We start from the raw sequence: 12,860 nt of genomic DNA, 5'->3' as shown, positions 1-12,860 counted from the left end.
CCCCCCTTGGGCCCTCATGGCCTTTAGCCCTGTCACCCAGCCCGGGTGCTCAGCTGGGGCTGGGCTCTGGGGTGAGGCCATGAATAAGACTCACCCTGTCTTCAGAGAGCTCATGCAGTGGAGGGTATGAGCCCAGAGCCCACCCAGTTCCTGCAATTCACATTTGTGAGGACAGCGGGAGTGCTCCTGGGTTAGTCCTTTCAGGCTACCGTAACAAATCACTATAGGCAGGGTAGCATATAAACAGCAGAAATGTATTGCTTACAGCTCTGGAGGCTGGGAACTCCATGGTCAAGGTGCAGGCATATTCAGTGTCTGGTGAGGGCCCATTTCCTCCTAGATGGCACCTTCCTGCTGCATCCTCACAAGGTGGAAGGGGCAGACAGGCTCCCTCGGGCCTCATTCATAAGGGCACTCATCCCGTTCATGAGGACTCTACCCTCCTGACTAAGCACCTCCTAAAGCCCCACCTCTTTATACTGTCACATTGGAGATTCTGTTTCAACATAGGAATTTGCAGGGGGACCGGCATTCAGAACCTAGCAGTTCAGAGTCTTCTGTGCCTCATACTTCTGCCTCGTACCTGTCACCTCCAAGATTCCATCTCTGCCAGCACCCCATCTGCCACTTGCCACCTGTCCCCTGCCACCCACACCTGCCCAAACACACACACACACACACACACACACACACAGAAAACCCACATGTACGCAGACACACACCTTACCAAGGACACACACTATGCACACATTCCCCCCACACTTACACAAACACACACATAAAGATGCCACACGTTCACACACACCACACTCAAACATTCCCCCATATGCTTACACAAACATACATGCACCTACCCACACGCACCACTCACAACACACACATTTTCCACGCAGTCCTACAGATAAAACACATACACTGTACACACACTCCTACACACAATAAACAACTCACACTCCTACACATCCAAACAAGCCCACAAAATTGTGTTCACACTCCTGCATCCCTCGCGCTCTCAGAGAAGCCTCACCACTGTGCCCATGCAGCCCTGGCCCTGCTGTTCGCTGCCTTGGCGCCGGACCTGCAGGGCTCCCCAAGCAGAGTCATTCATCTCAAGGGCAAGTCACTTCCCCATGCCTGGTCCCCATGAGGGCTGTTTGCAGAAGCCCACCTTAAGGCCTGTCACCCAGAGGCCCAAACCATTTTCTGCACCAGAGGAAGTCCCTTGCAGTCACTGCCATGACCTAAGCTCATCCCAGTGACCCTATGGCCAGTCTGCTTGGGTGAGAGGCCACAGCTTTGTTCCTTCCTTCCACAAGCTACTGAGGCCTGCCCAGACCCAATGCTGTGAGAGGTGGGGGAGAGAGAACATAGGCACAGCCCCTGCCTTTGAGGGCACCGTCCGCTGGGCAGATGGGAGAGTAAAGCTGCAGGTTGGGAGGGGAAGAGGGGTGAGGGTGCAGGTGCAGTGAGGAGCAGAGGGGAGGGCCAGGGTTGGGGTTCACACTGCATTTCTTCATCTTTCCAGCTTTTTCGACGTGTGGCGTCGGCTCTACCCGGAATGGAGAATGTCCAGGAGAAAAGCAAAGAAGGGAGTATCCTTTTCCTTTGACAAGTGAGTGAAAAGATGTATAGAAGCCATTTATTCACTGAATATGTTAGTGCAGTGGACAGACACTCGCCCAGTCCCCGCCCAGCCTTCCCTGGTCTGCCGCGAATGGCACGGGGCCTCCTCTAGGCGGGATGCAGCTGAACCCTATGGTTTGGAGCCCCCGTCTGGCTCTAACCATCTACTTCTTCTTCCAGAATAGCAGGAAGATACCAAAGGGGTGTGCACAGAGTGATGCTGTGGGGTGGGGAGTGAGAAACAGCGACTTTGCCCTTCTTTACAGCGAGCATGTTTATGGGTTTCATGAACACAGGCAGAGTCTCCACTGCAGGGAAGTCTCTGTCACTGGGGATATGATCTCAACGTGGTTCAGTCTACTCAAGACAGCTCCCCCCTTCAGACAGATGCCCCCTCCTTGTCCCGCCCACCTTCTCTACCCAGCCCTGAACAGCTCCTGAGGCTCCCCACTGATCTGTGGGACCATTGCGCATCACCCACAAACCAGCCCCAACCTGAAGAGACACCTAGATGCTGAAACTGAGGTTCAGAGAGGTAGTCTGGTTTGCCCAGTGTCACACAGCATGTAAGTTACAGTTAGGATTCACACTCAGGCTTGCTTCCTCCATATCCAGCCCTATTCCATGTGGGACACTGTCCCTCTAAGGGCATTTGAGAGAATCAGATGAAAACTGTTTCAGCAGGGGAAGCCATTGCCCACACCTGGGCCTCCCCTGCATCTAGTCAGATGTCCCTGCCTGAGTAAGCCACCAGAAAACAAGCATGCAGATCCCTGGCTGGCATCCTTTACAGTGGACCTGTCCCTACACAGCAGCTCTCCAACATCCCCCACTGATCCTATAGGCCTCTGAGGGTAGACATCCCTGACAGATCAAAGAAGGGCCCTGGGAAGATGGAAGGGCACCTTTGGGCTGATGAGAATCAAAAGCAAAAGAAGCACACAGCTTAATGTTGGAGGCCTCATGGAGCTGCTGGGGCAGGGCGGGCAGGACACCAGGAGTCCCAGGGCTGCAGCAAGGGGGAGCCTGACACAGGCCTGGAGGGAAGCTAGGCCTCTCCAGCCTTGCTCAAGGAGCTCTCAGAGCAGACTCGAGACCCACCCCCCGGGGGGGTCAGGAAGGCTCACCAAGGAGCAGGTGCCCCAGCAGTCCCACGGTCTGTGTGTCACCAGAGGACAAGCAGTGGCCGAGAGGAGGGGGTTTGAGGAGTATCTCCTGGTTGGTCAGTTATGAGACTCCAATCACAGATAAGGAAACTGAGGCTCAGAAACTTAAACTAGGGCACCCCACGGCTCTCAGTAGCAGAGACAGGCTCCAGAGCTCAGGAGAGAGCCCCTGTGGAATCACCTGTCACATGGGACTCCTTTGAGGTTCCAGGAACATACAGAAGCCAACCTGAAGGGCAAACATAGGAGCAGGAACAAGGGAGAGGGGCAGACAAGGTGCAGGCGATCTCCGCTGTGCCTGCCAGCAAGGGGAAGGGTTGCACTGCCCGCTCTCCATCCCACCAGCTCCCAAGGTGTGGCACACTGGCCGGGGTGAGTGGTGATCGTTTCATTCACATTCTCCCAGAGTCGCGCTGTTGAGGGCTCCAGGCTGGGCCCACAGTCAGGTCAGACTGGGCTGAGTGCAGGGTGACAGTGAGCTCGTCATCGTCCTGGTATGCCTAGCGTTTCATCCAGCTACCACTGACCTTTGGGCCCCTTGGGAGAAAGGATACATGGCAGGTTGCAAACAGACTGCACAGGGTGTTGTGACCTGTGTCCCTTTTTCTAGCTAAGGGGTCCCCTCATCTGGGTAGATGTACCCCCATCCTTTCACTTCTGCCCAGGAGCCAGCTTGCTGGGCCTCTCACGAGGCAGGTGCTAGAGCGGCCACCAGAGGTCCCAGAGGGACCAGGCAGAGGCAGCCGTCATTCTGCTTCTTTCGGGATGGGGTGTTGGCATTTCTGCTTACTCACAGTCCAAATCCAGGTGTTTTGAAGGTGTGTGCTTTGGGGTCATGTTCATAATTGTGTTCCACATTGAGAGCAGCCACACAGAAGCACTGCTTTGTGGCGCTGTATAAACTGTTCACACCTGGCCTCACTTGCTCAGCTCAGGACTTGGTGAATGTGTGGCATGAGGTTTCCGTCTGCTGCTTGCAGGTCTAGATGGGGGGCTGCTGCACCTCTTCTTCACGTTCGAGACAGGAGGACCCCTCAGGGCCGCTCTGGCCAATACTTCTGCCCAGCAGCACCCTCCACTGGTCTGCTCTCAACAAAGTAGGAGCCAAGGGGCCACCAAATGGTAGAGCCATAAGCCCCTTACTGGTTCTACATACACAACCCCCCAACCCCCACTTTCTACCCAAATACAGTATGCGCCCATCACATGGGCCCCAGACTGTTTCTGAACAAGGCTGGCTTACGCAAAGAAAGAGCAGTAGTGTGGGCACTTCATGAAGTGGCTCTAAGCAGGTGAGGACAGTGACGCCGCAAACCAGATAGAGCATGCTCAAGGCCTCCCAGCTCCTTAATTCAGAGCTGGAACCACATCCAAATGACTGGATTCCACAGCCCTGTTGCACTCTCTGATGGGGCTGTGGTGTGCTTTGACATTCCAGATACAGACAGGATTGTGCTGCAGTAGAGTCAGAGGCACTGGGATTGGGGAAGCATATCCAGCAGTAGGGGGTAAGTTTGTAACAGGCTGTCTGGGCCCACCCATCACTTCCAGGAACCAGGGAGAAGGGACATTGGGCACTGAATGTGGCCCGTGATGGGCCACACTTGACCCAGAGGGAAGAGGCGGGTGTGCTCTGGCCATGCCTGCCGGAAAGGCACATATCTAACCTCTTGAGGCTTGTGAGAAACCGTGAGTTTCCCCTTCTGGGACATTATTTAGACATGGGTCCAGTCATTCTTCCCTGTCCTCTCAATCAGCGGGCAGCCCCTGAGCACTGCATTTCAGCAGCATGTGGCGTAACAAGGAAGGAGGTGTCATTAAATGAGAGCCTTTGGGAAGGCTCCTAGCGGAAGAGCTGGGCCTGTGCTCTCCAATTCTGCAGCCACATGTGGGTGTTCCGACTTAAATTAGTTAAAATTCAGTTGAATTAAAAGTTCATTTCCTCACTTGCACTAGCATCCTTGCAAGTGCCCAGTTGCCCATGTTGCTAATGGTGACATCTTGGACAGTGCAGATATAGAATATTTCCATCACTGGAGAAAGTTCTTTGGACAGTGCTGTTCTAGAAGTATCAGTAGAATTGGTTTCCCGGATGTCTGTGCATTGGGACTCTCCAAAGAACTTGTTAAAAACACACATCTGGGGCCCATCCCCACATCTACCAAGGTAGGACCCAGTGAGACGTATTTTTAACAAACATCCCAGAAAATTTTGATGCAATCCATTTGAGAACTATTGCTGTGCAGTGTACAAAAGTATTGTGATCAAATTGCGCATGAGATTGTTTTAGTGGTCGTAGGTGACTTCAATACTGGGCAGAACGTAATGCTGTAACAGTGGCCAACCTTCAAGCTAGACCACTAGTTCTCAACCAGGACTGATAGCCCTTCCCTCCCCTCCCCACAGGGGACATTTGGCAATGTCTTCAGACGTTTTGGCTCACCATAAATTGGGGGAGGGGGAATGGGGTTTAACTGGCATCTCATAGATAGTGGTCAGGGATGCTTCTGAACATCCTCCGTGCACAGGACGCCCTCATAACAAGGAATTGTCTGGCCCAAAATGTCAGTAGTGTTGAGTTTGAGAAGCCCATCCACAAGGGGCTTAGCACAGCCAGGTCAGTGAAAGTAGAAGGCTGGGGTCAAGATAGCCTTGGGTTTGTACCTGGGCACCTCAGCTTCCCAGCTGGAAGGTGGCTCTTTTACTCCCCACTGCACGAGGTCTAATGTGGAAGTGAGGTAGCTCTCAGCAGGAGAGGCCACTAATGCGTGCACCCTGGCCCAAGGAATGAGGACATTTTTACAGGTGGAGATGGGGAGGAAGGCTGGGTGTGGGGGAGGGAGCATCACTTCTAGAAGGAAAGAACAGCATGAACAAAGGAAAGAAGGAAAGCATAGGACGTGTTTAAAGCAGGGAAAATCTGGTTGGTGGAGCCTTGGTGTGTGATTGAGGGAAGGGGATAAGCTAGCGTCAACAGGTGCTTGGGGTGACCCTAAATGGGGAGGCCTTAAATGCCAGAGTGAGAAATCCGTGGACACTTTGTTTCTGTAGCAGAGTGTGACATGATTGTCACCAGAGCTGGCTTTGGGAAGCCACCATGCTGAGAGAGAGCTGGCTGGGCTCAGAGGGGCACTCAGAGAAGACCAGGAGACCTCAAGGAGGCCTGTGCCCAGGCCAGCAATACAGAACAGGACTGCACTGCCGGCATGGGCCATAGAACTGCAGCTGGCAGAGAGAAACAGCAGGGCATTCCTGGCAGTGGGTTTACCAAAAATGATGGGCAGTAGAGAAGCAGGCTGCTTGACTAGGGTAGAGAGAACAAAAGGTGGGCTGCAGTGGGCAGTGGGAAGGAAGGCACTGGCTTAGTATCTATTTACTCATTTATAGGCTGCCATGGTATAAGATACATATACATACACACAAGATAAAGTTGTATGTGTATGTGTGTACACACACACATGGGGAAAATAAAGGTAGGAAAAGCAAAGAAAAGTCAGAGATAAAGTCATACTCAAAATGTATGCCATGGCCGCATGGTTGTTAGAGGTGGCCAAAAAGTTGGCTCTGAGCATCCTCACAGCCAAGGCAAGGAAAGAGAATGTGAACTTCAGGAGAAGCATGGCTTTTCATAGTACTTAAAACAAAAGAACCTCTCCTGTTGTCCTCAAATAGGAGCCACAAAAGCATCCTTAGGATGCCAGCAAGAAGTTCCAAAACAGTGTTTCTTATACCACCACACCCCACACACCCCTGTCTTAAGGCAATCCCTGTCCAGGAAGAGCAATTCTGTGAGGTATCAAAGGGCCTGATCCTCAGCTATAATTAGGTCTGGTTTGATGCAAGGCTAAAATCTCACAGTGTTGGTTTTGAGCCCGATGAGGAAGGCAGAGGGCCAGCCTGGCTGTGCATTTGGAACCAGTCCCTGTGGTGGTTCTGATAAGTGCTTCTTTAGCCCACAGCCCCCGGGGGCACCAGTGGAAAGGGCTGGCGAGGGGGCTGTGCTTAGGCCCCATGGATGTGGCTTCTTACAGTAACCATCCTCAGGATCTAAGTGATGTGTTCTGACTAAAGCTTGAAGGGTTTGCTCCTGCTGCCAATTAGGCAAGGCCCACATACCCCTGTGCTTTGAGATGTGAACCCAGCAGGCTCTTCATCTCCATTGCACTTTGAGTGGGGCTGACAGGTAACTGGGCTGAGGCCAGGGCTGGGAGCTGGCATTTGAGCACTGGTCGAGGGAAGGCTTCTGGGAAAGGGACTCCCTGGCCTTGGTATAGATGGTGATCCCACGGCCCAGGCAAGACAGGCTTTGCTTGGGTGGACAGGCGCTGGGGGAAGTGGACGGGTGAAGGGAAGAGGAGGCAAGGTGGAGTTGGTATTGCATCCTTCCTAGCCCAGCCAAACCAAGAGCCAAGTCCCTAGGTGTTTGCAGAGAAACAGAGCAGTAGCCAAAGGGTACAGTGCACAGGGCTAAGTGGGGTGGCAGCTTGTCCAGGAGAGTCATCTTCCTTAGCCCGTCCCCCTGCAGTGATCGACATCAAGCTGGACAAACCCCAGGAGCCCCCGGCCAGCGAGGGCGGCTGCTCCTGCTAATGCAGAGCCGACCTGTGGCTTCCCATGACACTCCTTGCTTGTTGTGTTGCTTCCTATTGGCTAGCTTCCTAAGGGGGGAGGGAACCGAGTTATCAAGATGGGAGGATTTTTCTTTTCTCTCTGTCTTTAGGAGTAGGGTGGGATGGGGAGGGAGGCTGGGCATCAGGGATCACATCACTCTTAACGGCTGTTACTTAAACAACTATTTTTTGGTTTGGTTGTAATATATTGTACTTTATTAAGATTGCCAAAAACTGTTAAAATTTAAAAAAAATTTAAATCATGTGTATACAATTTTTTGCCAGATAAAAATGTAGTCATTTTTATTTGAAAGATGTGCTTTTTGTTTTTGTATATTTGTAAACTTATAGAGAACCTTTTCCACACACCTCCTCCTTCCTGTTCTCTTTGAACCATTCATCACCTCTGCCTTCCTCCTATCCCCAGCCCAATAAATTAAAACAATTAACTGAGCAAATTAATTAGGCTTCAGTCTGGGGCCATCTGGCCCCACTCTCTAGGCCCTACTCCAGTTAAATCAAACATTGGTTGAACACATCAGCCTCTGAAAAGGTAGCTCTGACTCTTGTCTTTCCATGGCCAGAGTGGGTCGTCAACCTCGTGTGGAGCTGAGACCAAGGTCTGTGGGCTCTAGGCAGCCCGGCAGCAGCCCCCAGAGGAACTGCTCCCACCTCTCCTTCTCTTTCCCTGAAAAGCCTTGAAGGGGGTTGAGGGTACAGGCAACCTTGTGTTCTCTGTGCCCTCAGGGACTGGCAGAGCAAGAGGCCATCAGAAGGACGAGGTGCTGTTGGCAATTGCAGCTGCGTGGTGCGTGGTTTATAGACTGGGGTGCCATGTGTACTTCTGAAAATATTTTAACCAGCCCACCCAGCAGTCAGTACACATGCCTGGGCCAAGTCTAAGAAACTCAGTGTGTGATGTTGGGCAGTGTGCCATCCTGAAGCCTTCCTCCTGGATGTCAGGGAAGCTGGACCACCTGGAGTTGATCCTCTGTGATGGGGAGGCGGGGGGGGGGGGGGGTGTTGTCTGCAGAACCACCACCTTGAAAGATCCATGTTCTTAGAGCCTCAGCTGCTAATATTGTTGAGTGCTTTCTGGAAAAGCTGATTTGTTGCTATGTTTTCACCCCAGTGGCATGGCGCAGTTGAAGTCTTTGTGGACATATCTTTGTGGCTACTGTGGCTGCGCTGTGGTCACCTGAGGATGTGGTTCAGGTGGGGTCTCCAGAAGGCTGCTTGCCCCCAGAGAGCCATCTCTTCCATTTTTGATTCATTCCTGAGAATGGCTTAGTCCTGAGAATCTGCAAAGTCTCTGAAGAGAACTCTCTCTTCCCACTAAGTGATATAACCTACTTGGCCAGCATTCCAAATAGACTCAGACTCACTGCCCTGAGCCTGCACAGAGCCAGGTGCAATGGGCAGTGAGTCTGGCCAAAATGTAAACCCCACCCTCCCTGCTGTCATTGGCTCTCCCTCCAGGCTGCTGCTGGGCATGTCATAGATGGGATGAATGACCATCTGGGGTATGGTGGGCTGAACTCCACAAGGTCGTTGGAATGAATTTTGAAACTTCTCAGAAATTAATCTGAAATGGCAGGCAGTAAGTGCAGCAGAATCTGGCAGGACTGATATTTGTGCAGTGGGCCTGCCACACACCCTCTGCCTAGGAGGCTGTATGCCAGAGCTCATCTCTAGCAAGGAATTTATCTTCAGGTGAAGAAGAGAGGAAGCAGGATCCCACTGAGCACCTCTTGCAGAAGGCAAGGACCAATGTTTGAACGTGTTTCAGATGTCATGTGTTTAGTTTTTATATGTGTGTACATAATTATATATAGAGATAGACTTGTGTATACACCTTCCACAAACACATCCTCACGGAGATACATGTGCTCAATGTATATTCTTGTTTCTCCTGCTCTCAAGTTGGAACTTGCATTGTGATAAGTTTTGGAAATTCAAAAGTACTGCAACGTGTTGAAATAAGAAATACTTAATATTGTCAAATAACTTGTGATTGTCTTGCCATCAATAAAATAATGCATAGTTGTGTTAAACTACAGGCAAACATAGCCCACGGGAATATCTCCACCATTTCTCTATGTACTTTATATGCACGGGTGTGCATGCCTGTGTGGGCCAGTGTCCCCCCACCATGGGCACACCCCCAAGTGGTGCTTGTTGGAAGAGTGCTTACTTACCTCGAGAGAATTTACAGGAGTCCACATGACAGTGTCCTGCCTGGTTGGCAGCGGGGGCCATCACCTGTGGCCTCTGAGACCGCCCCATTTACAGGAATCTGCACTGGGTCTCAGTGAATGAACGTATGGTAGATTTTTATTTTCTTGGCACTAAAGATTAGCTTTTTTAAAAAAACATCCCATAAAACAGTAGAAACTCAGTTCCCTTCTCAGGGGCACACACATCCAAGGCACCGTGGACTGTGTTTCCATCCTGGCCTAGAGGAGCAGTAAAAGATAGCATTTGGTTTGACATGGCCTTAGTGAGTCCTGCCTTTCCTAGCATGCACACAACATCCTCTCTTTGAGTTTGGGTTCTCCCCAGCCCCTTGGCCTCTGAGGCTGAGGGTGGCTTCCTCCCATCCTCCCATCTCAGTGGTTCCATGGCGCTCCCTTCGGCACGTGCGGTTTCCGCCCCTCCCTTCCTGGGGTGTGGAAAGGCAGCCAGACCTCTTTTTCAGAAGTTGTTGGTTCCCTGATTTTTGTCTTGAGCAGGCACCATCCCTGTCCCCTTGCTTGCAGGTAGAATTGGCACAGAGTTAAGGTTCCATAATAAACTGTTAGGTGCTCTTGAAGAAGATGTCATGGCATTGCCTCAGCACCCCAGCAAGAGCATTGCATCTTTGCTGAATCCAGATGGGTTAGCAGAGGGCAAATTGGAGGATTCCTTTGAGGAAATGTTCTCAATTGAGCAATTCAGTCCCTCTCCCCAAAGACTAGACGTGACCTGGCAGATTAGCAGGATCCTCTTGGCCTTCTTTTTTGGGGATGGTGGGAGTGAAGGGGGTGAATCTTAAAAGCTTATCAACAAAGCTCCTGTTCTGCAGGCATCAGGAAAGTTGAGTGTAAGATGGAAAAAGCAAACAGCCTATTTACAAGTGGAAACACATTGGTTCTGATCACTCCTAACTTGCTGGGTGATCATACATACATCAACATGAAGGTGTGACATCAGAATCATGAGCACCATGGCTGCAGTTGTGTGATCCAAGGCTAGTTGGCTTGGTAGCTGTTGGCAGCAGTTTCCCTTGGTCAGAGGCCTCCTTGCTATCTATCGCTGCTCTCTTCTTGTCATCCTTAAACATTCAGTCATGTTCCCAGGTCTGAGGGGAGCAATGGCCAGACCAGTTTCAGTATCTCTGGCAACAGAAACAAGGATTGAAATGGTGGTAGTTAAGAGTGCAGACACATCTGGGGTGCAACGTCTGCATCATCCTGGTGGCTAGCCAGTGCGGGGAGGCCCTGCCCTGGGATACCAGTTGTGACAATAAAGGGATGGCCCTCCTGGCTTCAGCATCCTGCAGGTAGAGCAGCCTCATTCCTTCACAAGATGGAAGGCAGGTGAGGATGTCAGGATGAGATGGGACCAGGTAGCCGAGGACAGTGAGGCATGTCTGAGCCACTTGAGGGGCAGCTGAACAGAAGGATGTCTGTGTGCATCAACCGAGCAGATTGTGCGCACACTCGTTTCCGAACTGCCTCTCCCCAAAGAATGTGAGGCATTGTCACCTTGTTACAGCTATGTGAAGCAGAGCTGTCACAACTTTTCCTGTCTACAGGCAGGAAAACCAGGATGGAGAAGGGCAACTTGCTTATTAAGATCACCCAGCAAGTTAGGAGTGATCAGAACCAGTGAAGTTTCCATTTTTCATCCATTGCTGCCCTGTGTGTGAACAAATGTGACTCCATATTTATTACACAGCAAGGACTGCTGTGTGTGGGTGTGTTCCTCAGACCATCTCTACTCTTTTTGGTTAGGACACTAGGTTCTTCCCAGCATATGAGTGAGAATATTGGTGGTATTTTGGGCTCCTCTACTGCACAAGGGCCAGTCCCCAAGTCTACTCTGATTGATTGTCATGGGCACCCACACAGATCAGGACACCCTTTGAATTTTTGTTTGACATGAACTATTTAGGTGTTCCAAAACCTTGGGATCTCAATGTGCAAACTCCTTGGACTCCAGACCCCTGTCTGGTTGGCACTCCCAGCAGTGTGTGGTTTCATCAGGAAATCCTTGCAGCAGGGGTTTAGATGGTTCCTTCAGGAGGTGGGAAGCCTCCATAGCATTGAAGGCCAGCCTGCATCTCGCGGTGTGTGTCCACTTCTCCCCTCACTTTCCCCTCACCCATCCCTTTAAAGTGATTGGCTGTGAGGAGCACAGAGGGTGGCAATTCCATCTGTTATGGGCTCAGAAGACATAGCCGCCATGTTGATTTCACATTAAACTGTGTAAAATGTGGAAAAGACTCAGCATGTTGGTCAAACAATAAACTGTCCTAATTCTCAAAACAAAGCTTCTTGTCTGTGTTTAAGTGGTGCAGTCATAAATGGGGGGGTTCAAAAACAGTTCCTGAAGTGTGTGCTCCACAGAGTCCCTTTTGTCATGCCTGGGTGGTATGTCCACTACCTAAAGCCCTTTGCTGCTTTGCTTCTTCCTCCTACTGGTGGAGTTGGGCTGTCCACCAACTCCGAAGGGGTAAAGATGGGACACACTCATGAGAGTAAATCCACACGCATTCCCCTAATCTCCATTCTGCTGAAAGGCTGATGGGAAGGGAGCCTCCAGGCAGAACTGAGTCAGGGGTACGATATATTCCTTCATCCCCACTCTGCTTGCCATGGCTAGGGGATTAGGAAGGGGGGAGAGGGTACAGGGACTGGATCTCTCATGCTTCTGGTGATTTTCAGAAAGCCATTTAAAGGCAAGAACTTAAGGTGAACTATAATGACCTTTGACAACATCTAGCTGCCATATTCCATCCCCAGCCCCACACCACACCAGTTAGGAACATCCCTGAGTGGCCCCTCCAGGTCTCAGTTATCTCCAGACTAAAAGATGCTCAGAAAGCCAGCACAGTCCTGGGACCAATCCAAAGAGGAACAAAGGCCAAGATTAGGTAAATTGCCCTTGCCCGGGAATCTCACTCTTCTTCAAGTCCAACTTCACTAATTACCTTTCCTTTTAAAGCTTATAAAGGTTCCAGAACACCCTCCAATCTGCTGCCACCTCAAGGAAGCCATCTTTGATTAGAAGAGACATTGAGGCCAGGAGTTTGAGAACAGACTGGCCAACATGGTGAAACCTCATCTCTACTAAAAATTAGCCAGGAGTGGTCCCACAGGCCTGTAATCCCAGCTACTTGGGGAGGCTAAGGCAGAAGAATCACTTGAACCCGGGAGGCAGAGGTTGCAGTGAGCCGAGACGGCACCACTGCCACTCC

General features: G+C 51.1%; 2 protein-coding genes across 3 annotated transcripts in view, besides 1 other annotated feature; one reads left to right on the top strand and one right to left on the bottom strand.

Annotated features, from left to right (window-relative positions):
* RAB6B (RAB6B, member RAS oncogene family) overlaps positions 1-11,932 on the top strand; it is a 71,648-nt gene extending 59,716 nt beyond the window's left edge. Inside the window, exons 7-8 of one of the 2 annotated variants that reach the window (NM_016577.4) lie at positions 1,526-1,592; positions 7,315-11,932. In NM_016577.4, coding sequence (NP_057661.3) covers positions 1,526-1,592; positions 7,315-7,379 — 132 coding nt within the window. In that variant the 3' untranslated portion in view covers positions 7,380-11,932. The remainder of the gene's footprint in view (positions 1-1,525; positions 1,593-7,314) is intronic. The other variant, NM_001363953.1, reaches the window with a different exon arrangement.
* Positions 410-590: a silencer, noted in NCBI's record as "fragment chr3:133554421-133554601 (GRCh37/hg19 assembly coordinates)". NCBI's record gives its function as "represses an EF-1alpha promoter that drives an FKBP-Casp9 reporter gene in an ReSE screen in K562 erythroleukemia cells {active_cell/tissue: K562}" and the evidence as "EXISTENCE:reporter gene assay evidence [ECO:0000049][PMID:32094911]".
* Positions 7,593-12,860, bottom strand: part of SRPRB (SRP receptor subunit beta) — a 44,552-nt gene continuing 39,284 nt past the window's right edge. The window contains exon 8 of the transcript NR_163491.1: positions 7,593-10,775. The gene's annotated coding sequence lies outside the window, so the exon portion shown is untranslated. The remainder of the gene's footprint in view (positions 10,776-12,860) is intronic.

The sequence above is a fragment of the Homo sapiens genome, chromosome 3 (genome assembly GCF_000001405.40).
Source record: "Homo sapiens chromosome 3, GRCh38.p14 Primary Assembly".
Classification (NCBI taxonomy): Eukaryota; Metazoa; Chordata; class Mammalia; order Primates; family Hominidae; genus Homo; species Homo sapiens.
Note: the sequence above shows the minus strand (reverse complement) of the source record. Positions and strands in the feature narration are given on the sequence as shown.